Below are 26609 nucleotides of genomic sequence, written 5' to 3'. Positions count from 1 at the left end.
CATTCCCCAGGCAGGTGGGGGAGGTTGACTCAGAGGCTGCTGTGAGCTCAGGGGAGTGGGGGAGCTGCCACCCCACGCTCCCACGCCACTGTGAGCTAACACCCCGGCAGCCTCCCAAACACCAGCTCCACCAGCAAGAAGCAGCCGTTCCCAGCCTGCTGAAAGCAGCAGGCTCTGTAGTGCTGCCAGGAAGCTGAGCATAGCCCAGTGAGGTCAAGGGCTGACTGATGGCAGCCTCACACCCCTCATCCAAACCCAGGCAACTGTGGACCCTAAAACCAACCCACGAGCCTGCCACAGAGCACAGTATTCTGGCCCCTTCCCCTCACTTGGCTGCCCCATAGAGACAGGGGGACCAGCCCATGGGGTCTAGCACTTTTCTCATTCAAATTTAATACCTTCAGATCCATCTCTTTCATTTCATCACATCTGTCCTCGATAAACATTTGCACATGGAAATAAAACATTCACTGTGGCAAAAGCGAAGCTACTGGAAAAATCTGCATCAATAAGGAGCTAGTTAGAAAATTCTGGTAATCCATACTATGGAATACTACACAGCAGATAAAAATAATGGCACAGATCTGTACTGTACATGTTCTGGCATGAAAACGTCTCCAAGATATACCGTTGGATGGGAAAAAAAAAAAGAAAATTGCAGAATAATGTATCCAGGATACCATCACTTATGTAAAAACTTTTTAAAAAAGAAACCTGGCTCTATATTTCTCTTAAGTCCACAAGTGCATATGCAAATGAAAAAAATACCTGGAAAAGAAACATCAAACTAACAACAGTAGTGATGGATGGACAAAAAGAAGCAAAGGAGGGGAGGAAGGAGAGAGGGAGGAAGGGAGGGACAGAAAGGACTTTTTACTTTGTACACTTCTACGTTGATTGATTTTTACAAGAAGAATGTATCTGTGCATATTTAGGTTCTGAAAAACATTAAAGTCTGTAAAAAACAAAACAAAATAAAGTGCGTTATCACCGTGCTGGTACAGGTCTCAGGGTAACCTTTCAAAGAACTGTCACATCCAGGACCTTGTCTAAGTCTTGCCATACCCTCTTGAGGGCAAGCTTTCAAAACCTGATTTTACAGATTAAAAAACTGAACGCGGTGGCTCACACCTGTAATCCCAGCACTTTTGGAGGCCAAGGTGGGCGGATCACTTTGAGGTCAGGAGTTTGAGACCAGCCTGGCCAACATGGTGAAACCCCAACTCTACTAAAAATACAAAAATTAGCTGGGTATGGTGGTGCATGCCTGTAGTCTCAGCTACTTGAGAGGCTGAGGCAGGAGAATCGCTTGAACCCGGGAGGCAGAGTTTGCCGTGAGCCAAGATTGTGCCACTGCACTCCAGCCTGGGCGACAGAGCGAGACTTCGTCTCAAAAACAAAACAAAGCAAAACAAAAAAACTGGACCCATAGAGGTGAAACAAGCTGCTCAAAGTCACAGGCAGGGCTGCGGGGCACTGATCCCTCCACTCCCAGCCCAGTGCTCCTTCTAACCAGGAAACAAGACATCAGCAAGGGGTAGGGGCTGGGCAGGGGGCTGGGAGGATGGTCTGAAGCCCGCAGCCCATGCACAGAGCCCCTCAGGGAGGGGCAATGGGGCTTTGTCAGGGAAGAAGGCAGTCAATAACGAGGGGTGAGAGAAGAGCTGATGAACTTCCGCCCCCAACAAAAATTAGACATCATGACAAGCCACCCACTGCGTGGGGATGGGGCTGCCGCATCACTTGGCAAACTGCACGTGGGAAGGAGCCTCGGGGCCATGTCCCCAAGCCCAAGATTCCACCTCTCTTTTCACCCAGGCTGCTCACCCCAGGCTTTCAGCGGAGCAGCTCCCAGCAGAGTGGTTCCAGGGATGCCTCTTGGCTCGTTTCCTAGAGCCCTGTGCAGCCAGGTGGAAGTGGAATTACACTTCTCAGAGGGTTCTAGAACCTGAAGAGCAAGGTGACTAAAACCCAGCACCCTCTTGGGCCAGAAGTGCCACACCTCTCTGCTCTTTCATTGACTGGAAGGTGTGTGCAGGGACCCAGGAAGCATGGCTAGGCCTCTCCAGGGACAGCCAGGAAGGCTTATTATACAGGGATGGGCCATGGGCGCCAAGGGGAACAGGGAGGTGCACAGACCTTGGCTCACAATGAGCAGGCGAGACCGCCTCTGAACAAGCCCAGGGAAGGGGGCTGTGGTTACATCATGGATTCTCCATTCATTCCTACAACAGGAAGCAAACCTATAAGGCCATGAGGGCAGTGACAAGAGTCGGATGCCAGTGGTTCTGATCCCGCTCTGCCACCTTGGTCAAGGTTCTGAACCTCTCTGAGTTTCAATTCCCCCATCTGTAAAATGGGTGTTATCATACATGGCTCTTAAAGCACTATACATAGTACAGATCATGATATCTAGCTCATGAGACACAAAAATAATATAATTAAATTAAACATGGCAAGTACAAGGTATCCATAAAATCTGGAAACATAGGCCAGGCACAGTGACTCATGCCTGTAATCCCAGCATTTTGGGAGGCCAAGGCAGGTGGATCACCTGAGGTCAAGAGTTCAAGACCAGGTTGGCCAACATGGCGAAATCCCATCCCTACTAAAAATTTAAAAAAATAGCCAGGGCATGGAGGTGAACGCCTGTAATCCCAGCTACTCGGGAGGCTAAGGCAGAAGAATTGCTGGAACCTGGGAGGCAGAGGTTGCAGTGAGCCGAGATTACACCGCTGCACTCTGCCCAGCCTGGGCAACAGAGTGAGACTCTGTCTCAAAAAAAAAAAGAAAAAAAAAAAAGAAAAAAATCTGGAAACATAGATTGTATGAATGTGTATACATGTTTGTTTATATTTATTTACTCATTCACTTTACAGAGTGAAAATATCCTAGATAGCATTGTCTATATCTGTTTTCAGACTTTATGGACATCCTTTGATAATGTAAATAAAATATACTAATATAATAAAATAAAACAGTAATAATCACTTCCTCAGCATAAGGGACCATATTTAGGAACTTCACAGGGATTTTCTAACTTAATGTTCACAGCAAGCCCTTAAAGTGGATTTTCTTATTAGCCCCATTTTACAGAGGTGTAAACGAAGTATAGAGAGTGGAAGAGACTTGTCTACTTGTCAAGCTCACGTAGGGAACTGAGAAAGCCAGTTTTAGATTCAGGTAGTCTCACTTCAGAGTCCATCCCTCTACACCATTTATGACTGCAGCAAAGGCTACATACACGGAATACACGGAACAGCATTCAGAGGGTGCCAGGCATGGGGTCTGGCACAGAGGAGAGCTTTATGAATTGCAAGATCCTGTGAGTATTGAGCTTTTGGTGGGGAGAAACCAGATCCAACTTGTTCACCACTATATCTAGGAAAGTAATGCAAAAGAAGGTGTCTGTAAGTATTTGTGGTTGTCTGTAAATATTTGTGGGAGGGAAAGAAAGTTATTATGGTATTCCTCAGCCAAAGGCTGGAATCCTTGTTCCCAAAAAAATACAGCTGGGCAAGGTGGCCTGCCTATAATACTAGCTACTTGGGAGGCTGAGGCACGAGGATCCCTTTAAGCTGGGAGTTTGAGACCAGCCTGGGCAACACAGTAAGACCCTATGTCTAAATAAATAAATAAATAAAAACAAATGAACGAAGATGTTTAAACAAAAAGTCTAGGCCTGGCGCTGCGGCTCTTGCCTGTAATCCCAGCATTTTGGGAGACCAATGGCGGGCAGATCACTTGAGCTCAGGAATTCGAGACCAGCCAGGGCAACAGAATGAGACCCCCATCTCTACAAATTTTTTTTGTTTTAATTAGCTGGGTATGGTGGCAGTACACCTGTGATCCCAGCTACTAGGGAAGCTGAGGTGGAAGGATCACTTGAGCCTGGGTGGCAGAGGTTGCAGCGAGCTGAGATCGCGCCACTATACTCCAGCCTGGGAGACAGAGCGAGACCCTGTCTTAGAAAAAAAAGAAGTCTAAGATAAATTCGAAGTTCCTAGGAACGTCCACTTCCTAAGAGGAATGGGGCTGCTGGAACTTGGAAGTGGGTCTGCAGACCTGCCTTGCCCACACGTCTACTGCACAGAACCTGGATTCCAAACCCTGATCAGAGGCCAAGGCAGCTGCGTGGCCGCCAAGGCACAGAGGGGCCTACCTTCCTCGGCGTCGTTCCTCAGCGAGGCCTCCAGCAGGGCCACGCTGGCCTCGAAGGACACTTTCTTGCGGCGGCCGCCCGTGCTGCGCTTCCGCTCATGCTTTCGCTTGCGGTGCTGCAAGTCCTGCTCGTACTGTGCCCATTTCTTCAGCTGCTGGGCCCGGCGCTTCTGGGCAGCCCGCAGCCGCTCCAGCGTGGGCACCTTCTCCAGCAGCTGCAGCTCCGTCAGCAGGTCCACGTGACTGGCCATGGCCACCGCCCTCCCCAACGCCCTGGCTGGGGGCTAGCACGGTGCACCGGGGGCCAGGGCAGCGCGGGGCCTCTGGTGGGGCTGGGGCCTCATGGTGTGGCCTGTGGCAGGGAGGGAGACACAGATGAACACATGTGTCAGACTCCACAACTCAGATCTGATCGTCCCCCAACGCCCCGTGTTCGAAACGCTTTTGAGGTTTTCCTTCCATTGCTCCTCAAGAGAAGTGCAAATCCTTACAGTGGCCCTGTAAGTATCAGCAAGGTCTGGCTATGCTGCCTAATGCAGCAGCCAGTAGCCACCTGTGGCTATTTAAATTTAAATCAATTAGAATAAAGTAAAATAATTTAATTCCTTGGTTGCACTATCCACATTTCAAGTGCACAATCGCCACATGCTTCATACTGGACAATGCAGATAAAGAATATATCCATCACTGCAGAAAGCTCTATTGGATAGCTTGGTTGTCTGCCTCTCTAGCCACAGCTATTTAACAAGAACCATGCCATTTTAGTTTTCTTGTATAGAGTCACCCTACTTTAAGGATTTGGGTATCTGAGTGCTGGAATCAGAAGGGGTGCAGGGAGGGTCAGGACATGATGGGGGCTGCAGGCCCCCAAAAATCTGGAGACTATACAAACATCCAAGGCCTCAGAATTATGAACATCTGACACTTCTGCTCAAGCCTCTTTTGTTCTGATCACTATGGGATGCAAGTTGTACTGGAGATGGGACAGACAGGACAAGAAAGAGACCAGAAGAAACAATACACTATTGCAGTGCTTCTCAAAGTGTGGTCTGGGAACCCCATAGGGAATTCCTGAAACCATTTCAAGAAGTCCATAGGTCAAAACTATTTTCATAACTATACTAAGATATTACTAACCTTTTCTACTCATTATCTTATGAGTATACAGTGGTTCCCAAAGCTATATGAAAAGTGACATTGCAACAAACTAAATGCAGAAGTAGATACAAGAATCCAGCTGCTAAGCTCAACATAAAGAATTTTGCAAAATTTTTAAACATCACTTTTCTCACTAAATTTTTTTTGTTTTGAAAAATAGCTATTTTTCATCAAAATGTTATATATTATATGTTATGCTTTTATAACAGTCTAATAAAAATATGTTATAGATTATTATATTGTTATAATATATCATGGGTTTATGGTTTTATCTTAAAGGAATTAATGCTATTCTTAAAAATTCCTCAATATTCATTTATATTATGATAAATATTGACAGATATAATCCACATAAACAAAAGCTCTTTGGGATGCTCAATTTAAGGAACTAAAGAAATCCTAAGACAAAAAAGTTTAAAAACTGCTGAACTACTGGGACATAGAAAATCTTAGTTAAAGTTTCTCTCTTTGGATGACCTTTAAAAAAAAATTACATCCTTGCTCTCATGAGTTTCAAATAACATGAGGTCAACAAAATTTCAAAGTCTAAAGCCAGCTGGTCTTCAGCACGGACTCTATGAACTTTCAGACACAGAGGGAAAGGGTCTTAGGACAATCACTTGATCCTCTCTAAGCCTGTTCCTCCACCTGCAAAGTGTCCTATCCACCTCCCAGAAGTTACAGGTGCAAGGAATAAAAAGAGCTGGGGCTGGATGCACTGGCTCAATGCCTGCAATCTCAACATTTTGGGAGTCCAGGGTGGGACGACAGCTTGAGGCCAGGAGTTCCAGACCAGCCTGGGGAACATAGCGAGACCCTTATCTCTACAAAAAAATAAAATAATTTTTTAAAAAAGAGCTGGCCCTAAACATTAAGACACTAAACAATGAGACACAAGCTTGGAGGAGGAATGGTAGGGAGATGTAAATGCAGCATGTTTGTGAACCAGCAGGCAAGGCTGGTTTATGGTTGTTGGGTAACAGGAAAGAATGGCAGGAGTCTACATCTGTGTGATGTGGTCCACTGTCTCAAAGAGTATTGGGTTAGCCCCTGGTTGGTTTCAGGAAGCGTTGTTAATCTCCTGGGTCGCCTGCGTCACCCGCCCCTCCAAAAGCCCTTTCTACAGAAGCTGAAGAGCAGGGCTCAGGCTAAATCCTCAGGTGCTCAGATTGGGTCAGATCCAGATCGTTCTTCATGTCTCTCCCAGCTCGGAGACTGGAGAGTAAGCAGGCAGAATGGGGAAGGGGTTGGCTTGGCAATGCCCAAAGGGCAAAAGTTCCAGGGTCTGAGTGGGTGTGACCTCCAGCATAAATAAGCCAATGGCAAGGCTCAATGGGAGACAAGCTAGCTGGTTTTGGTTGCCTTTTGTTTGTTTTGTTTTGATTTCTGTTTTGAATACACTTGCAATGCACTTTCAACTAATTAAACTTTTTATTTTAGATCATTGTAGATTCACAGGGAGCGTAACAAATAGTACAGAGAGATTCTGTGTACACTTCACCCAGTTTATCCCAGTGGTAGCATCTTGAAAACTACTATACAGTATCACAGCCAGAAACCTGACGTGATACAACCCACCAATCTTATGCCGATTTCCCTAGTTTCACATGTACTTATTTGGATGTGTTTTGTTTTATGCAATTGTATCAATGTATCTACCACCTCAGTTCATAACCACACCTATCTCCTTCTCTAGGCTCCCCCTCCAACCCACTCCTGTCCCTGCCTTGGCAATTACTAATCTGTTCCCCATCTCTAGAATTTTGTCATTTCAAAAGATGTTATATAAATAGAATCAGATAGCAGGTAACCTTTGAGGATTGGCTTTTTTCACCCAGCATCATTCCTTTGAGATTCATCCACATTGCTGCATGCATCAATAGTGCGTTTCTTCTTGTTGCTGGGTAGTATTCCATTTTATGGATGGCCCCAATTTGTTTAACCATTTACCTATTGAGGAACATCTGCATCGTTTCCAGTTTAAGGCTGTTCCATTCATCTACAGATTGTGTAAACATAAGTTTTTGTTTCTCAGGAGCAAATACCCAAGAGTACAAGTGATAAGGCATATGGTAATTGCACATTTACTTTTTTTTTTTTTTTTTTGAGATCTCGCTCTGTCGCCCAGGCTGGAGTGCAATGGCGTGATCTCGGCTCACTGCAACCTCCGCCTCCTGGGTTCAAGCGATTCTCCCACCTCAGCCTCCCAAGTAGCTGAGATTACAGGCACCCACCATCATGCCCGGCTAATTTTTGTATTTTTGTAGAGACGGGGTTTCACCATGTTGGCCAGGCTGGTCTCAAACTGCTGACCTCAGGTAATCTGCCCACCTCGGCCTCCCAAAGTGCTCAGATTACAGGCGTGAGCCCCCGCGCCTGGCACATGTTTACTTTTAAAAGAAAACTGCCCAACTGTTCTCCAGAATGGCTGTGCTGGTTTCATACCCTCCAGCAATGTGTGAGTGATCCAGTTCCCCTTCAGCATTTGGGATTGTCACTGCTTTCTATTTTAGCCACTTAGATATAGATGTTTTGGTTGCTTTTTTAGAAGTAAGGAGTTCAAAAGAGTTCAATTCACAACCACACAATATCATTATTATAGTCAGACCTCTCTGGGAGCTAGCAGATCACAAGTTTATTTCACTCCACTTCCTCGAGTGAGTAAACATTTAATGAAGTCCTGCTCTGTGACGAGCCCTGATTCAGAGACGGATGCGGACCACCTCTGCCTTCTGTCTGTCAATTTATCTCATAAATCCATTTAATTATCCCAGTAACCTAATAAAATAGTAGTACTAGGTACTATCATGCCCATTTTCCAGATGAGGAAACTAAGGCACAGAGTGATTAAGTCATTTACCCAACATACCACCGCTAGATAGTGGAAGAGCCAGTCTGCCCGGGGTTCTCAAGGAAGGCTTTCCAGAATACAGGACAACAGATTTGAATCTCAGTGCAGAAGTAGGATTTCACCAGTTGAAAGGAGCAGACACGAGCTGAGAGGGAGTTAGGCAGCGCTCAAAGGTGTACAGAGTGGCTGACCACAATGGAGGGAACTCTGGAAACCAACATGCACAAGCATGGCCCGAAGAGGACGTGGCTGCCCAGCCCAAAAGGAGCAGAGAAGTCTTGTTGGCAGTGATGAGCCACTTGTGGCTGTGGGCCAGGCCTGACCAGAAAGCCTCCTGTGATCCACATCGTGTTTGTTGGTTAGTTTGGTCGAAGTCCACACCATGTTTTAAAATATTTTAATTCATTGCTGACATTTACAACTTGGAGATTTTATATCCAACATCGGGGGGTCTGCTTTTCTTAGAACATCTTGGTATGGGGCCACAGTGGGCTCACACGGCATCACCATCAACTGGTGTAGAGTCGGGCTGTCCCCTTTAGATAGGGCACATACGCTCTCCATTACCATAGTCCCCAATGCTCCCCATTACTCCCGCCTGACTGCCCTCACTAACTGACATCATTTGCCAGCTCCAATGTCATTTGAGTTTGCAAGCTCTGTCTTAGGCAGAATGAGACAGCAGTTTCCAAATAACCAGAGCTCCACTCTGAACAAGAAAGGAAAGAGAGCCTGTGAGTCTCCCCAACACACAGCAGGGTGAACACAGCAGCTAGGCGGCCCCAAGACAGGGCACTGGCCTGGGTGCTGGGGCAGCCCACGGCAGCCAGGTTCCAATGGGCTGCAGACTGGCCTCCTCGTGAGACCCAGAGGGTGATGGGAACACAGCCCAATGCCAGGATCTGGGAGAGCAATGGTTATCATCAACCCTTAAAGGGGACCCCCAAGGAAGACCTCATTTGGAGGAACAAGGAAGTACAAGGAAGCAGCTGTGTGCACCCCAAGAACAGACACCGGCCTCTAGAGCTGTCCAACAAGCAATTCGACAAAGGTGCTCGTGGTCAATGGCTGTCTCAGGAGGTGGCAAGTTCCTCGTCACTCACTGGAGGATAAAATGTCCACCCGTGTCAGATTGGCCTAAGTATTCTGTGAGATGTCTTTCAGCCCTAAGATCCTGAACACAGTTACTCATTTCTTCATTATTATGACTGATCACCTCTGAGTGGAAGGTACCAAAAACATGCTAAAAGTAAAGAGTAATGGTACCAATCACTTGCGCTGTTACAGCACTTTATCCCTTTCAAAGAACTTCCCCAGCCATCATCTCAGCCAAGTGCTTCCCTAAGTGTGGAAGGAGAATCCATTCCAAGGAAATTTTCAAAAGTACAGGAACAAGCCTTGACGTAACATGGACCCACACAGAGAGCAGGGTATATAGGCTTTTCACTTCTCTTTTAATCTTTCAGACTTTCTCCAGAGAAAAGTGTCAGTCCAATGCTAACAGACCCTTAACATCTTTATAACTATGCCAATCCTCCTTCAAAACAAAGAGAAAGCAGGCCTCAGCTCCTGGCCTGGGCAAGCCACTGTATCTAGGATAGAATGTAATAACATTGTTTTGTTTCCTGTGGATTTGTTTTCACAGTTACTGTTTGTTTATGGTTGTGATATAAAATTTCCTTTTTAAACAAATCTATTTCAGTTGGAAATAGGAAGTTGATAGTAAAGAAAAATTTAATGACAATGGCGTTTAGTGTTGGCAAAACTTATAAGTGACTGATATTTGGGAAACCCATCTTGCCATTGATCTTCGTGGCAATAATCTTACAAGAGAAGCACTCATATAAACTCATTATTTTGTTTGACAAATATTTAGGTGGCATCTACCACATGCCAGGCCTGTGCTCAGGGCTAGAGAGGCAGCAGGGTAAAGGCAGACACAGTCCCTGTGCAGTGGATGGATGGCACAGACACATGGGAGTGGGTGACCTGCTCCAAGGATACAGAGGCTGAGCAGTAACTAAACCTGGGGCCTGACTCACAGCACAGTGCTCCCTCCATGGGCCCCAGGGTGGCAGGCCCCAGGCAGACAGAAGGCACCACTGCAGTGTCCTCCCTACTCCCAGCAAAGGAATTAAGGGCAGTTGCCCAGCTCCCTGGAGAAAGGTGAGAACAATGTCTCCCAAGGGCCAGTAAAAGGGGCCAGAGGCATATTTTCTCTGACTTGGCCCTCCCCGCGAGCCCCTCCCACCTTGCCCCTCTGGGTTCCTTGGAGCTGGGGCTCGAGGACAGCTCCCTCTTGATTACTGGTTTTCAGGTGACCTAGTTTCCCCCAATAGACCCGCACACCTCCTCCCACCCCCGTCTGAGAAATCCCTGCTTGGTCTAATTAAAGAACTGCCATGGTGCTGCAAACACAGCAGCGGGGTGGCCCCAAGACAGGGCACTGGCCTGGGTGCTGGGGCAGCCCACGGCAGCCATGGCTCCAATAGGCTGCAGACTGTCCTCCTTGTAAGACCTGGGCTCACCTATCCACACTTCCAGAGAAAGCCCCAGAGGGTGATGGGAACACAGCACAAACTGCCAGGACCTGGGAGAGCAATGGTTATCATCAAGACTTAAAGGGGATCCCCAAGGAAGACCTCATTTGGAGGAAAACCAGCTCCATGGAGACATAGCAAGCCCAGCATCGGAAAATCCAGACGGAACATCCTGCAGAGAATGGGATACATGGGCCCACAAGTCAACAGAGTGTCCAGAACTGGCAAGATATCTGTGGCAGGGATCTGTGGAGGCCAGGTCGGGTGAGGTCATCCAGGAAGTATCTGTGATATGAGAAGAGAAATCAGAAGCAAGGGGAAATAGGGTAGGGTACTTAATTTTTCTAACATCTGGGTGGATGAACCAAAATAGTTTGACTGTGGCCAGCAGGAAGTCTGAGGCCAAGGCACTTGACCCTTGGGGAAGCAGGAACAGGCCACTGAGGTGTGTTCACCTCTTCCCCTAGAGCCTTAACTCAGCCCCTCTTGTCTGACAAAGTCCGAACTCCATTCCTCTTGTTGACCCCAAAGGGAGAGACAGAGTCAGTGCATATCTGGGGAAGCAGAGACTCAGCTCCAGAGGGCTGACCCTTTAAGGGAAAGGCAAGAAAGTATGGCAGGGTACACCCCCGCCTTCCCACAACACACTTCTTTGAATAATAGCATCGCCCAAAATATGGCAGGGGAGTAGGCAGGATGTACTACAGAACTCCTCACACTCTCCACCTTCAAAAAAGAAAGAAGACTATTACAAGAGTGTTATTTGGGGGAATAAATATACCTCTGGGAAAACTACAGAGGCACTGGTTTGGTGGTGATCTGTGTATTCCCACATTATTACTCAGTGCTGGGTCCTGATGGGCCAGAGCCTGTCAGCAGCGGCCTGAGCCCAGCACAGTGAGTGGTTGAGGCTAGGCACGTGTCCTGAGTTGGCCCAATCAGAAGCTCTCTCTTCTCACAATCTGTGAACTGGAAGCACAACACACAGTTGCTCCTGGAAGCCTTGTTGCCACCATCCCTGCAGGAAGCTGGCTTTTGGATGAAACCAATGCTTGGCGGTCACCAGAGGGAAACAGGGTCCTTTAAGTAAGGGGTCTCAGGACTTCAGTTATCCAAGCCAACAAAAGCCCCTTTATTATTTGAGCCAGTTGAATTGGATGTTGCCACCTGTGGCCAAAAGCACCTTAAGAGACAGCAATGATGTTTTTAGGGGTGCAGAAATAGGGACCCCAGAGGCAACTGCTGCTTGTAGCAAAATGAATGGCCTCTTGCTGAGGCATATTACCAAATACCTCCTCTTCCCCTTACAATGGTTATTTCTTGGCTCTTCAGGCCTGAGGTGAGGCCCAGCTTTGAGGAAGGGTAGGAAGGTCAAAGCCAGGTTTCCCTGCCCACTCAGCTGGGAGAAGCGGGCCCAGGCTTTGTGACTGCTTAATTCTGGGGGAGCAGTCGGTTGACACATTTTTGGACTCAAGCCTAGTGCCTCGAGAAAAACAACATGAAGGAAGGTGAATTCAAATTTAAGAGATTTTAAAATATGAGTCAGAAAGTGTTTCAAAGTTCACACTGTTAAAAGGAAATGTGAAGATTTGTTTTCATGTTCTTCAGCTATTCTTCTCTACACAATATTGGCAGCAGCCTGGAGGAAGGCGATGGGTCCTTTTCTCCTTGTGTTTCCTGTACCATTGAGCATGAGGGAAAGAAGAAAACAAAACAAACAGTGCTGGCTTTCCTACTCCTGGGATCTCACTCGGGACCTACTTTCTCTCCTAAAGGATGTACACCCCCGCCCTCCCACAACACACTTCTTTGAATAATAGCGTCATTTTTTTTTTCCAGCATAAAGATGCTTTAACTCATGAGCAAAGAGACTTCTGGGGCCCTTGGTGCTCCAAATACCTGAATTAGAAATCAATGTTGTCTCCCCTAATCTCATTCCCATGGGATTTTTGTGGACTGACTGTCCTACTCCTGCTAGGATGAACCTTCTAGACTTTGGGCATTGCCATCATAGACAGATCTCCTGGTTTTAAATCAGTCGTGAAACTCAGATCCCCACAGGTCAACTCCGTAACTCCAATTCTCCCAGCTGTGCTCCTTCATTCAGATCTCTGACTTGTCACTGTCCCCTGAAGCCCATTGACTATAACCCCATTTAGCAGGACTTTGTGTGTGTTGGGGAGGCTGAAGGTAGAGGAGGCAGGATTCAAAAACCACACATTTAACAAGAACAAAGAGTGATGAAACAACTCATGCATCTTGAGCTTTCCCAGGAGAAGAATCATGTCATCATGTCCAGCAGTGGAACAATAACAGACCTACTGACCTCTGTCTGAACTGGCTGGGCCATATTGGGAGCAGACCAGGTGTTAACAAAAGGCAACAAAAAAGGATCGGCTTTGTTCCAGGCCTCTGGAGGGCAGAGTGAGGCTTAGGCATGGTAATATGAAGAGTGGGATCCACAGCCTGGGCAACATAGCAAGACCCCGTCTCTACAAAAATAAATTAAAATTAGCCAGGTGTGGTGGCGTGTGCCTCTAGTCCCAGCTACTTGGGAGGCTGAGGTGGGAGGATCACTTGAGCCCAGGGGTTTGAGGCTGCAGTGAGCTATGATGACACCACTCCATTCCAGCCTGAGTGACAGGACAAGACCCTGTCTCTAAAAAATAAAAATAAATCATTTAAAAAATAAATACATGAATAATTTTTTAAAAAGAACAACTAGGATCAGCCTGGCATGAGGATAAACTGTCTAACAGTGATAATTCAACAAAGTCCAGCCATGGCATGATGCTGGAGTCCCCACTACCAGGAACTCCATGGCCTTTAGAGGTCTATGGTGGGTGGTAGACGGGAATGGCCCCATGAAGGCCCATGAGCCCCAATCCTGGCCTGCAGGGGCTGGCATCGTATTGGGACTAAGCACTCTATCATGCATATCTGCACCCAGCATTTGGTAACCACCAGGCTACACAACTTGCAAGGCCCATTTTAAGCAGGTGCTGATTGATGATTTGGATTGGTTCTGCCTGTCAGGGTGAAGCCGCTCTCTCAGGCTCAGCTCCAAGAAAACTTCAAAGGAGGCCACAGCTCAAACAGGTAAAGGAATACCCATGAACACACTGGTCTTCCATGCTGAGCTTCCCCTGCAAGAACTTGAACCCAGGGAAGCCCACACACTTTTGGGTAAGTACAGCAGTGTGGAGAAGGCCGTAGGGGACAGGAACAAGGGTGCCAAGGACAGGGGCACACACAAAGCTAACATGATGTCTACAAACGCATTAGTCAGTCACAGTCACGGTGCTAAACCAAACAGCCTGTCTTCTAAAGAAGCTTATGTAATAGCTAAGCTTGGGGAAACGGGAGTCAAATTACAAACAGTTTCTCCAGGCTTGAGGGAGTGTGGTCCACCCCCTCCCTTCACAGGGAGATAAAAACTCCCTTTGCAGCTGGAGGGATCATTTTCCAAAGGAGGCCACCTGTGGCTACCGAACACACTCCTGGGTTACACAGTTATTAAATTGGGGATGGCCCTTCACATCGGGTAGGCTGGGGGTGGCCTCTAATCCCTGCCTTTCTCTCCCAGCACAACACTCATGACCAAACTTTCCTCTCTTGTGCCACCACTTAGGTTGGTGGTGGCTACTTGGTGCACTGTGAGGAGAGGGATTACGAAGCCATGTGTGATAACAGGGAGAACGTGTGTTGTGATCAATTAGCAAAGCCTGCCATGGCTGAAGAGGTGGGAAGTGGCTGCATGCACACTGAGTACGCAATTCTGTTCTACATCATCCAGTAGTTGCCTTTGTATCCACTGATTAAAATCCTTGGCTGGGCATGGTACTTTATGCCTGTAATCCCAGCACTTTGGGAGGCCAAGGATCTAGGAAGTTATCAGGTATGAGTGGAAAGGCCCTTCAAATCCCAGAATATCATCCAAACAACAGCAACAACTCACTGTGGCATCCATGGTAGATAAGCATCAAGGAAATCTCAGGTTCACATAGGAATGTTTCCAATAACCCATCCTAGGGAGCAAAGGAAGAACTGTACTCCACCCTGATAAGGTGACTAGATCCAGACTCTAGGAACTCAAGCAGAGGAGGGCAGTCCCTATTTTACTCCATATGGACGTTAGCAAGTACTTGTTCTATTACAAATTGGTCTATCTGGTTTGTTAACCAAAATGTCCCCTTATCTCCCTGATCACTAATACAATGGATTTTCTGATATCTTCTTGCATTTTACCAGGAAGATCTTCTAAAGCACTTGCGGCTCTTTTACAGTTTTTTTCTAGTTCCTACTTCCCCCTCCCAAGGCTGGCCCTGGAATGTGGGGAGACAGCATGCTGTTGGTAATTGGATAGGGTCCATTCAGGAATGGAAAAGGACCAAGGCACTGTCGCCACTGACACCCTTCCTCATCCAGGTCTGGGGATCACTGTCTTGTCCATTTGAAGCATCTTGGGCTCCACACCATTACCAGCATAAGAGGAAGGGGAACACAATTTGCTGCCTTATAAGACCACTCTCTCCATTTCAGAAACCTCAAATATCCCTAACAAGCTATCTCCTCCCCTTTAGCCAGGGATATTCTTAGCCAGTTAGGAAGTAGTTGGTATAGAATTTTTTTTGGATACAGAGTCCCACTCTGTTGCCCAGGCTGGAGTGTGTTAGTATGATCTTGGCTCACTGCAACCTCTGCCTCCTGGGTTCAAGTGATTCTCCTGCTTCAGCCTCCCAGCTAATTTTTGTATTTGTAGCAGAGACAGGGTTTCACCATGTTGGCCAGGCTGGTCTTGAACTCCTGATTTCCAGTGATTCCATCCATCTTTGCCTCACAAAGTGCTGGGATTACAGGCGTGGCCGCCATGCCCAGCCTGGGATGGGAATTTTTAAAAACTTTTCATATAGTTTGTTCACTGAAGCTCAGAGAATAATTCCAAGGAAACAAGGACGATTAAAAGCATAGAATTGAACTTGAAGGAAAAAGTCCTACCCTGGGGGACAAAAGAATGAGAAGAGGAAGACAGAGGGCAACGCAGAGAGCAGATTCCAATTAAGTGCATAGCCAGTGTGGGATGGAACTGACATTTGAACCCAGGTCTGCCTAACTCCAAAGGCTACACCCATAAAAAGCAGAAGGAGAAGAAGGAACTGGGAAAATCTCTAAAGGAACCATAACCATCTTTAACAGATCTTTCTCATGAATTTCAAGAAGATTTCAGAAAATCCACAGTATTCGTGACCAGGGAGATGGGGACATTTTGGCCAAAAAACCAGAGAGACCAACTGGTAATAGAACAAATACTTGCTGAAGTCAGTATAGAGTAAAACATGCTTAATGAAACTAAAGGCTAACATTGCAGAACCTATAAACTAGATACATGAAATGAACCTAGAAACAAAGAATGCCAGGTAATCATGGCAGCTTCTGTGTCCAGCATACCTTCCACCTGCCAAGTTCTTTGCATGTAACCTTTCTGGGAATCACTGCACCAACTCTGCAATGTAGATATTGTTCCCATTTCAGAGAGGAGAAAACTGGGACTCGGAGAGGTTAGGGAACTCGTAACTAGGGCTGATGTTCCAGTTGTGTGTGGTTAGCATCTCTTCTGATTAGTCTGGCATCTGTTTTGATTGGTCAGTCTCTATGCCATTAGTTAAGTATTTTTAATATCCCCTCTCCTTAAAAATAAAAAAAAAAATGTCAGACAGGAAAGATGAGCCACGGAGGCATGACGGTAAGAGGAGTCCTTGAAGGAAAATAAATGAAATCTATGCAGAGTAAGGATATCTGATTAAAGTCATAACTTCCCTTACTGTTGGAGCTGTCATCACTTTTGGAGCCTTGGGCAGGAAATATATCTCATCCTAAATTTCATAAAATCTGCTTTCCAAACCCCTATAGGCTCAACCCCCTATGGGTGCTCCTTTTTTCAGTGAGCATTTTTGTGTGTTTTTTGGATTTGTTTTGTTCTTTTTTTTTTTTGAGACAAAGTCTCTGTTGCCCAGGCTGGAGTGCAGTGGCACTATCTCGGCTCACTGCAACCTCAACCTCCCAGGTTCAAGCAATTCTCCTGCCTCAGCCACCTGAGTGGCTGGGACTACAGGCAAGTGCCACTCTGCCCAGCTAATTTTTGTATTTTTAGCAGAGACAAGGTTTCACCATGTTGGCCAGGCTGGTCTCGAACTCCTGACCTCAAGTGATCCGCCAGCCTTGGCCTCCCAAAGTGCTGGGATTACAGGTGTGAGCCACCGTGCCTGGCCTCAGTGAGCACTTTCACTTCATCCGGTAACTCCCAAACCAGATTCACAACAGCAACTGGCCTCTCTCCTCTCCTGTCTGAGAGATGAAACTGTTAGTACAATAAATCAGAAAGTTTCCAGATGCCCTACATTTTGGTAAGTGAAGTTTCCATCCCATAGGCAGGTTTTGAAGTCTCAGTACTGGATCTATGACCTTCCAGGTCACCATGCAGAGAAGCAGGCTGTAGTATTCTGCCTTTAGAGCATTACTTCTGTTCCTCCCCTCTTTGATCTCCAGCCAAAGTTCCTCCACTTTGATTCCCTCCTCTTGGGTATACAGAACTCCAAGCATACCTCCGCTTCCCTCTCACCGGTTGTATTTCCTTTGAACATGATAACTTCTCTATAAGCCATAGTTTCACCCCACGAAAGTGGTATTGCTAACACAATTGAATTTATCTCCTCATGTGAAAATCTCAGGTTCACTTTGTTAACTGCTTTGGTCTACACTCAAATGTCTGGAGCTCTACTACCACACCCATCCTTCTACTCAGCAAATTCCTGAACACTCTGTTTCATACTTGATGCCAACAATAAGTAACTACTAGTTTCAGGGTTTTCTTCTGGCAATTTTCTCTGAAAATTCACTTCCATTTTTAATTTAAATCCTATTTATTTAGCCAATAAACAAATATTTATTGCCATCTATATGAGGTAGGCAATAAAGTAGGGTGGGTCTAAGGATCCCTAAATGAACAAAGCTATTGATCAGAGAGGTCCTGCTTCTAGTAAGGGCAAAGTAGCTCTTTCTGGACCAAACTTCCCACACAAAACTATTACGAACTCTAGACAGAAAAAAAAAAAAAAAAAAAAAAGATTGGAAGGCACTAAATGTGTTCAACTACAAGCAAGTAGAAACTGGAGAGGAGGCAACACCTGAAGGAAAGAAATGGCACTAGATAACTTTCGTGTTTTTAATGGCTTTTTATTTGCGGGAAGCGCCCAGTCAGTGCTGTACTTACTAGCTAAAACTTGGATAGAAAACTACTCTCTTACTATTTGAGGAGTTTAAAGACAGAGTTCAGGTAACCACAGCTGGAAAATAAGGAGAAATATCCCAGAAAAGAATCACAGAACAGTAGCCCCAAATTCTGAGTATAAACAGTGCCCAAATCTCACTGAATGATGTACATACAAGGCAGACTTCAAGTAGTTCAACTAAAGCTAAATGAATTCAGCAAAGATTTCAGATGTTGTCCACCCAAGAAAGACTGAGTTTGGAGTTTGAGTTTGGTCAAGTTAATTGCCTGATTAAAAAAATATATATATTATATTTATATTATAAATTATATATAATGTAAATATAATATATATTATATATATTAATATATATATATTTCTGAGGAATAGAATTCAGAGTCTCTTCAGGTCTCATTCACAACATTTAGGATGTAATCCAAAATTACTAGGCAAATTAAAAACAAACAAACAGGAAAATGTGACTCAAACTCAAGAGAAAAGGCAATCAATGGAGACCAATCTCAAGGTGACCCAGGTGTTGGAAATAATAAAGATTGTTAAAGCAGTTATAACTTTGCTCAAGAATGTAAAGGAAATTATGCTTGTAATAAAAGAACAGATAGGAAATCTCAGCAGCAACATAGAAATTACAAAGAAAAGAACCCAAAGCATCAATTCCACTAAATTCTCACCAGTACCTTCCTCTGCACCTCTTTGGGTGGTGTCTCTCACTAGGGATAGTTCTAATATGTTTATTTCAATGACCATTTTTTAGCACCTTCCAAGTGCCAGGGTCTAGGCAGCCTTTGGGGCAAAAAAATATGTCACAAAGACCAGCTCTTCTTCTCTGACAATGTGTATATAGCCCACTAGTCACTTCTCATATCTTCCCTTCTCATTCAGGTCTTAAATTATAAAAAGAGATGAAAGTCCTGCTGTGGCATCTTTCCAGAGCTTCATAGTGCTTCCCCCTTAGCTTCCAGATCACTTCTGGTGGAGCCATTTGCTCCAAATAAAGCACATAGGAATGAGAGGCAGGCTGTCAGGTTTGACACATGTGAACATTCTCCCTCCACTGGCTGATAGCCAGGTCAGTTCTACCAAAAACTCTGGGACATCACAGGGAGTCCATGGGGAGGCACTCACCATTACAACATCTCTTTCCCCAGTTCTACTCTGCTTTTGCAAAATCTGTTAGGAAAGACGTTCTCAAACTTGGCATTGGAATCACTTGGAGATGCTGGGAATATACAGGACGATCACAGAGAAAGACCACTACAAATCTATCAGAATGGCCAAATTTTTTTTTTTTTTTTTTTGAGACGGAGTCTTGCTCTGTCACCCAGGCTGGAGTACAGTGGTGCGATCTCAGCTCACTGCAAGCTCCGCCTCCTGGGTTCATGCCATTCTCCTGCCTCAGCCTCCTGAGTAGCTGGGACTACAGGCGCCTGCCACCATGCCTAGCTAATTTTTATATATATATATATTTTTAGTAGAGACAGGGTTTCACTGTGTTAGCCAGGATGGTCTCGATCTCCTGACCTCATGATCCGCCCACCTCGGCCTCCCAAAATGCTGGGATTACAGGCGTGAGCCACCGCACCTGGCTCAAATTTTTTTTTAAGACAGAAAATGCCAACTGTTGGCAAAAATTCTTACACACTGAGTGGGAATATAAATTGGTACAACCACTTTTTAAAACTGTTCAGCAATGTCTTATAAAATTAAACACGGGCATGTCCTATAATCCTGCAATTGAATTCCTAGGAATACACCCAACAGAAATTTGTTTTTTTTTTTTGAGACGAAGTTTCGTTCTTGTTGCCCAGGCTGGAGTGCAATGGCACAGTCTCGGCTCACTGCAACCTCCACCTGCCGGGTTCAAGCAATTCTCCTGCCTCAGCCTCCTGAGTAGCTGGGATTACAGGCATGTGCCACCACACCCGGCTAATTTTGTATTTTTAGTAGAGAAGGGGTTTCTCCATGTTGGTCAGGCTGGTCTCGAACTCCTGACCTGAGGTGATCCGCTCGCCTCGGCCTCCCAAAGTGCTGGGATTACAGGCATGAGCCACTGCGCCCGGCCAGCAATTTCTGTATACATTCGCTAAAAGGCATTCACAAGAATGTTAATTGCACTATTTCTAATAGACGCAAAGTATAAACAACCCAAAATGCCCCCAGAAGTAGTTTGGAGAAAAAATATGGTTTGTTCACACAATGAAACATTGTACAGCAATGAGAATGAACAATATACAATTACACTCAACAATATGGATGACTCTCGCAAACAGTGTTAACCAAAATAACCCAAACACACAAAAATGCATACTATATGATTGCATTTATGTAAAATTCAACAACAGGCAAAACTAATCTATGTGGTTTCAGGGTGTAGGGAGTGACTGGAAAGGGACATACGGGGTTGGAGAGGGGGCTTCTGGAGTGCTGGTAGCACTCCAAGCAGGATATGGGTTAAATAGATAGGTTCAGTTTGTGAAAAATTGATCCACTTAAGATTTGTGTACTTTTGTGTATTTGTTTTTCCTTAAGAAATCATCACAATTTTTTTTTTTAAATACTGCTCTCTGGGTCCCACCTCGACAGATTCTAGTTTAATTGGTCTGGAACGCAGCCAGAAATTGACGTTTTTAAAAGCTCCCCAGGTGGGTCTCATGTGCACCCAAGAACCACTGTGTCAGAACCTGGCAACTCTCCTTACTATTTCTTGGAGCAGAAAGTGCTGCTGCTTCTCCAGGAAGTCTGAAAGCAGGATGTTTTTGGTAGAACACTAGTAGCGCCAGAGGATGTTAATAGGAGTTACATGAAAAAAGTCTTCTATAGTCATATACATAATATATTTATTTTTTAGTTTATCTTTTTTGAGATAGGGTCTCAGTATGCTCCCTAGGCTGGTCTCAAACTCCTGGGTTCAAACAATCCTCCCGCCTCAGCCTCCCTAAGCAGCCAGGATTATAGCTACCACCATGCCCAGCTAGTAATATATTTTATCACAATTATCAACTTTTACTGAACACTCACTGCATTCCTAGAGCTAAGCTATGTGTTTTAGCTACTCATACTATTTCATGTAATCTTCACAGCAAGCCTATGAGAAAAGTACTATTAATCCCTATTTTATAGAAGGGCAAACTAAGCTCCATAGGGTTAAGTAATTGCCCAATGTCCAGTAAGCAATAGGGGTGGGATTCAAATCCAGATTGGCTTTGACACTGAAGCCCATGCTCTTTTTTATTTTTTTTCCTTTTTCTTGCAAGAATTACAAGGGGTCAGGTACAGTGGTTCATGCCTGAATCCCAGCACTTTGGGAGGCCAAGATGGAAGGATGGCTTGAGCCCAGGAGTTTGAGAGTAGCCTGGACAACACAGTGAGACTTCATCTCAAAACATTAAAAAATTAGCTGGGTGTGGTGTCTCCCACCTGCAGTCCCAGCAACTCAGGAGGCTGAGGTGGGAGGATCGCCTAAGCCCAGGAGGTTGAGGCTGCAGTGAACTGTCATTGCACCACTGCACGATCACAGATCACTGCACTCTAGCCTGGGCAACAGAGTGAGATCTTGTCTCAAGGGGAAAAAAAAAAAAAAAAAAGAGGACAATCAGTGAAGCCTACACACTCGACCACTGCCCATAACTGCCTGCCCAGACAGCACTTGACTGCAGGAGTTAACTGAGCCTTTGCTATGCTAATCTGAGCTGTTGTCAAGACAAGAATATTGAATGCAGCAGTTCCCAAAGTGGTTTCCTTGCCTCCACCGCTTACCTTCCAACCAGCCATCCACAACGCTGGTGGAGTTTTCACTCTTAAACCAAGTTTGATCCTGTATTTCCCTTGGAGGGAAGCATCTGATGGCTCCCACTGCCTATGCTGTCCAGTTTCAAGCTCTCAGCCTAAACCGTCCAATATCTGGGCCTTGACATTTTAGCTTTCTCTCTGGCCAGCCTGACTTCCCTCCCCTCCCCCAACTCACTAAATACCCAATTTTCCAGCTGCACCGAACAGGACTGATGATTCACTCCTCCCCAGTGGTACTCACCATTTGCTGAGACTCTACTGTGTGCCAGGTACTATGCATAAATTGACTTTAATCCCCGCAATGAGTCTTAGAAACAGGCATCATTACCCCCACTGGATATATTAGTAAAAGGAGGCTCCTCTTGACACGCCCAAAGTCACAACTAGGAAGTGGCAGGGCTAAGATTTGAACCAAGATGTATCTGCTACAAAGCCCATGCAATTTTCACTACACCACACTAACCTCCTCACTTTCACACACGCTGTTTTTGTTTTGTTTTGTTTTTGAGACGGAGTCTCGCTCTGTCGCCCAGGCTGGAGTGCAGTGGCACAATCTCAGCTCACTGCAGGCTCCGCCTCCCGGGTTCACGCCTTTCTCCTGCCTCAGCCTCCCGAGCAGCTGGGACTACAGGTGCCCGCCACCACGCCCGGCTAATTTTTTGTATTTTTAGTGGAGACGGGGTTTCACCGTGTTAGCCAGGATGGTCTCGATCTCCTGACCTCGTGATCCGCCCGCCTCGGCCTCCCAAAGTGCTGGGATTACAAGCATGAACCACTACGCCCGACCCACACATGCTGTTTTATGAGTGGCAGTACCCTTCTTTCTCTCCACCTGGCAAACTCCTCTTGTTCTTTGAGAGGTAGCTCAAGTGCTAAAATGACAATAGCTATCATCTCTTAAGGGCTTTCCAGGCACCGTGCTCAGCACTTGCCTTGTCTCATTTAGACAATATTGTCTCAATGTCTTTTTTTTTTTTTTTTTTTGAGATGGAGTTTCAATCTTGTTGCCCAGGCTGGAGTGCAGTGGTGCGATCTCTGCTCACTACAGCTTCCGGCTCCCAGGTTCAAGTGATTCTCTTGCCTCAGCCTCCTGAGTAACTGGGATTACAGGCACACACAACCATGCCTGGCTAATTTTTTTGTATTTTTAGTAGAGACAGGGTTTCACCATGTTGGCTAGGCCGGTCTTGAACTCCTGACCTAAGGTGATCCGCCCAGCTTGGCCTCCCAAAGTGCTGGGATTATAGCTGTGAGCCACCACACCCAGCCTCAATGTCTTAATATTGCCTCTGAATTGTTCTTTATCTCTCCTGTGCCAAACAGTCTTCGTTCCACTCTCTAGTCCCAAGGCATTTGACCACATCTCTTCTGTGGCACTCAGCACTCTGGTAATTGCTGGTTTCAGATCTGCCTCTTCCATTGGACTGGATGCTCTCAGAAGACAAGGGATATGTATTGTTCACCTTTACATCCCATGATAGCGCCACCCAGCACATGGTAGGTATTCAATACGTGGGAGAGGGTGGACAGGAGGCTGGCCAAGAGACTGAAAATTCATGAAGAATTTCTGTTCTGCCATGAGAGAGTGGTCCTTTGACTTAGAACAAGAGCTGTAACATCAAACTGGGCAAAACAGACTTGGCTAATGGGGGAGGAGGAGGGTGGGCCCTGGGACCAGAACCAGGACATACCTCGCCTGGCCCCTGCCCTTTGCCTCCTGTAAGAGGGTGGACTAAGATTGTGCTGGTCTTCACAGTCCCTTTTCCACTCTGCATGCTTTGCAATTGGCTCTATATATCGCTGCTGAGGGGATTTGTTGTAAAACAATGGTTAGGTTCATTCCACAGCGCTGATTCAGTTGATTTTCTCAACTGCTCCTTGTGTTGTGTTGCTTTTAAGATGTCTCAAGTGAATGAAGAGCTATCTAGGACAGGTGGGCCCAAAGAAAATGTATATAGCTAAGGCTTGGTTCCCCCCAGGTGGGTCGACCAGATGATCATACCCCTTTCTACATGGACCTATTCTTTTTGAGAAGGAGGTCCCTTTACAATACATAGACAGATGTTTGATGTTCATTCATTGATTGAAAACCATTCTATGGATCCACTCTACCACAGGCCTGTTCAGAGCACACCTGCTTGTAATCCCTGTGGTAAACAGCCTATTTATGCCACCTACATCCAACCTCTATGAGCTTCAAGGTTGCTGATTTTTAAAGCCAGCCTCCTGTTTCCTTGCTCCCACTCTATCTGGACCAACGTACAGATCTGCCCGGGTTTGAGTGATCGGTAATCAGTGCCAGCTGCAAACTCAGCTGGGTTTCCCCACAGGCTCCCTCAAACAAACCCTATTTGTGAACATGGAAACTACCAAAGAGACTATTCTAAAATTACTCACCCCTTCCTAACTTCCCACTTCTTCTGCTGCCCCCACTAAGGATAAGCTCCATTATTTTTTTTTTTCTTTTTGCTTCTAATCAAGTTGTTTTCTTTTGAGAATTTCAAGCCTCCTCACACCCTGGGACATAATGCATACGGTATTTTATGAATTCATTTGTGATATTAATGAATATAGAGTTTATCAAACAAAAGTTAGCTAAGCTTATGCATTTCTCTAGCACAATGTGAACCATACAGTTTTGCTCTCATTTTATTTGTTCATTTGTCTGCCAACTCCAGGAGATGGGATCAACCTGAGGGCAAAAGCTGGTTTCATTTAATTTTGTATCCAATTCCAAGCCTAAGGCCAGGTACAATGTAGTTTCTGAATATTTGATCATCATTATGTAGGCATAATCCAAAGGGTCATAAAATCTAAAAATTACTGTAGAACCTTATGCAGAAATGTTCTGCTTTATATCTGTCAGACTGACAAAAATGAAAGTTACTTAATCCTCAGTGCTGGAGAATAGATGGGGGAAACAGTCATACACTGTTGAGGAAACAGAAATTGGTTCAGCCTCTTTGGAGAACAGGTTAGCAATGTCTATCACAGTTGAAACTGCCAGGAATTTTCCTTATGAATAAAATCATCAGTATGTAGAGTATACAAAGATATATACACTGTTCAAACAAGGATGTTGCAACATTATACATTTGTAGGAGGAAAAAAACTGGAAACTATCTTAGCCATCATCAAGAAACTAGAAAACAAATGATGGTACATTTTTATCACTGGACTATCAGATAGCCTTAAAGATCCAGGTATATCTGTGTGTTGGCATGTGCTCAGATAAATTAGCTGAAAAAGAAGATCTCAGGAGAGTTTTGTATAGTTGTGTTAAAAAGAAAAATGGATAAACATGTAAATGAATATGGGTTTATATATGCATATGAAATTTATGGAAAAATACATAAAACATTTATAGATTTATTCCGGGGAAAAGGGATGAGTGGCTGAGAAGATGGGGAAAGTTTACTTATGATACACTTATATACTTTGTGTAATTAAAAAGCATGACATACAGCCATAGGAAAACAAAAGCTTAAGTTTATATATAAAAGAAAAAAAATGAATGACATTTTGGTGAAAATCTTCCCTATATTTTTATAAGGTAATTGGCAATGTTTATAAGGCAACATTTCCTCTCTATCCAGTCCATGGGATAGCCAACGACAGCAATAGTTCCAGAAAGAAAACAGGAGACAGAGAAAGTCACCAAAAAGAGTCAAGAGACCTAAAGAGAATAAGTGTCAAAATTTGTATGTTTTACTTGTTCTTGGATGTGAGGAAACAAAGGCAGTTCTGACTAAGAGTCTGAACTAAGACATTCTGAGAACTCTCCAGGCTGGCACAGACTCTGGGGCCAAGAAGCGGAGGAGACTAGGGATGCCCAGGTAAGTAATGGCCATAAGTAACCTAGTGAACAAAATGAATGACCCAGCTCCTGGGGACATAATGACACAGTGCTTTGCTCACCTATTTCCCTAGCTCCTGAATACTCCTAGGGACTAACTCTAATGATAATAATGCCATAAGAATAGTTGGCATGTATCAGGTACCTCCTACCTGCCAAGCAGAGGCTAAATGCCTAATCATATCAATTTATATTATACTATTATTATTCCTGTTTTACATATGGGGAAATTGTGGCTCAGCAAATACACACATGTAACTTACTCAAGGTTGCAGTAGGTGCTGGAGGTAGGAATCAAACCCGTACCTGACTCTAAAGCCAGCCAAGGTCATTGCTAGCCTTCCCCCCTCTGAAGGAAGGACAAGAAAAAAGGTACTCCCTCAGAGTAGGGATAGCCCCATAAAGAGAAGACAGCATTTTTATGCAAAGAAAGGGCCAGAGAGTGTAATGATTCAGTACAAGGACTTTGAAGCCGGATGTCCTGAAATGGAATCCTGACTTTTCCATTTACTGGCTGTGTGACCTTGAGTAAGACATTGAACCTCTCTGCTTCACTTTCCTGAACAGTAAAATCAGAGTAGCACTAAAGTCACACCTGGCCAGACACAGTGGCTCATGCCTGTAATCCCAACACCCTGGGAGGCCGAGCCGGGTGGATCACTTGAGGTCAGGAGTTTGAGACCAGCCTGGCCAACATGGTGAAACCCCTTCTCTACTAAAAATACAAAATGTAGCCAGGAGTGGTGGCGGGTGCCTGTAATCTCAGCTACTCAGGAGGCTGAGGCAGGAGAATCACTTGAACCCGGGAAGCAGAAGTTGCCGTGAGCCGAGATGGCACCACTGCCCTCCAGCCTGGACGACAGAGTGAGACTGTGTCTCAAAATAATAATAATAATAATAATAATAATAATAATAATAATAATAATGATGATGATGATGATGTCACCCCTTAGAGTTGTTAGGAG

General features: G+C 45.2%; 1 protein-coding gene across 2 annotated transcripts in view, besides 3 other annotated features; it reads right to left on the bottom strand.

Annotated features, from left to right (window-relative positions):
- PPP1R16B (protein phosphatase 1 regulatory subunit 16B) overlaps positions 1 to 26609 on the bottom strand; it is a 117328-nt gene that overhangs the window by 82687 nt on the left and 8032 nt on the right. For both annotated transcript variants that reach the window (NM_015568.4, NM_001172735.3), the window contains exon 2: positions 4163 to 4513. In NM_015568.4, coding sequence (NP_056383.1) covers positions 4163 to 4412 — 250 coding nt within the window. In that variant the 5' untranslated portion in view covers positions 4413 to 4513. The remainder of the gene's footprint in view (positions 1 to 4162; positions 4514 to 26609) is intronic.
- Positions 6462 to 6681: an enhancer, noted in NCBI's record as "active region_17864". NCBI's record gives its function as "activates an Ori minimal core promoter by ATAC-STARR-seq in GM12878 lymphoblastoid cells {active_cell/tissue: GM12878}" and the evidence as "EXISTENCE:reporter gene assay evidence [ECO:0000049][PMID:35858748]".
- Positions 21277 to 21824: an enhancer, noted in NCBI's record as "OCT4-NANOG-H3K27ac hESC enhancer chr20:37447157-37447704 (GRCh37/hg19 assembly coordinates)". NCBI's record gives its function as "activates a minimal SCP1, AML or CMV promoter by ChIP-STARR-seq in naive and primed H9 embryonic stem cells {active_cell/tissue: H9 hESC(naive and primed)}" and the evidence as "EXISTENCE:reporter gene assay evidence [ECO:0000049][PMID:30033119]".
- Positions 21825 to 22372: an enhancer, noted in NCBI's record as "OCT4-NANOG-H3K27ac-H3K4me1 hESC enhancer chr20:37446609-37447156 (GRCh37/hg19 assembly coordinates)". NCBI's record gives its function as "activates a minimal SCP1, AML or CMV promoter by ChIP-STARR-seq in primed H9 embryonic stem cells {active_cell/tissue: H9 hESC(primed)}" and the evidence as "EXISTENCE:reporter gene assay evidence [ECO:0000049][PMID:30033119]".

This window comes from Homo sapiens, chromosome 20 (genome assembly GCF_000001405.40).
Source record: "Homo sapiens chromosome 20, GRCh38.p14 Primary Assembly".
Taxonomy (NCBI): Eukaryota; Metazoa; Chordata; class Mammalia; order Primates; family Hominidae; genus Homo; species Homo sapiens.
Note: the sequence above shows the minus strand (reverse complement) of the source record. Positions and strands in the feature narration are given on the sequence as shown.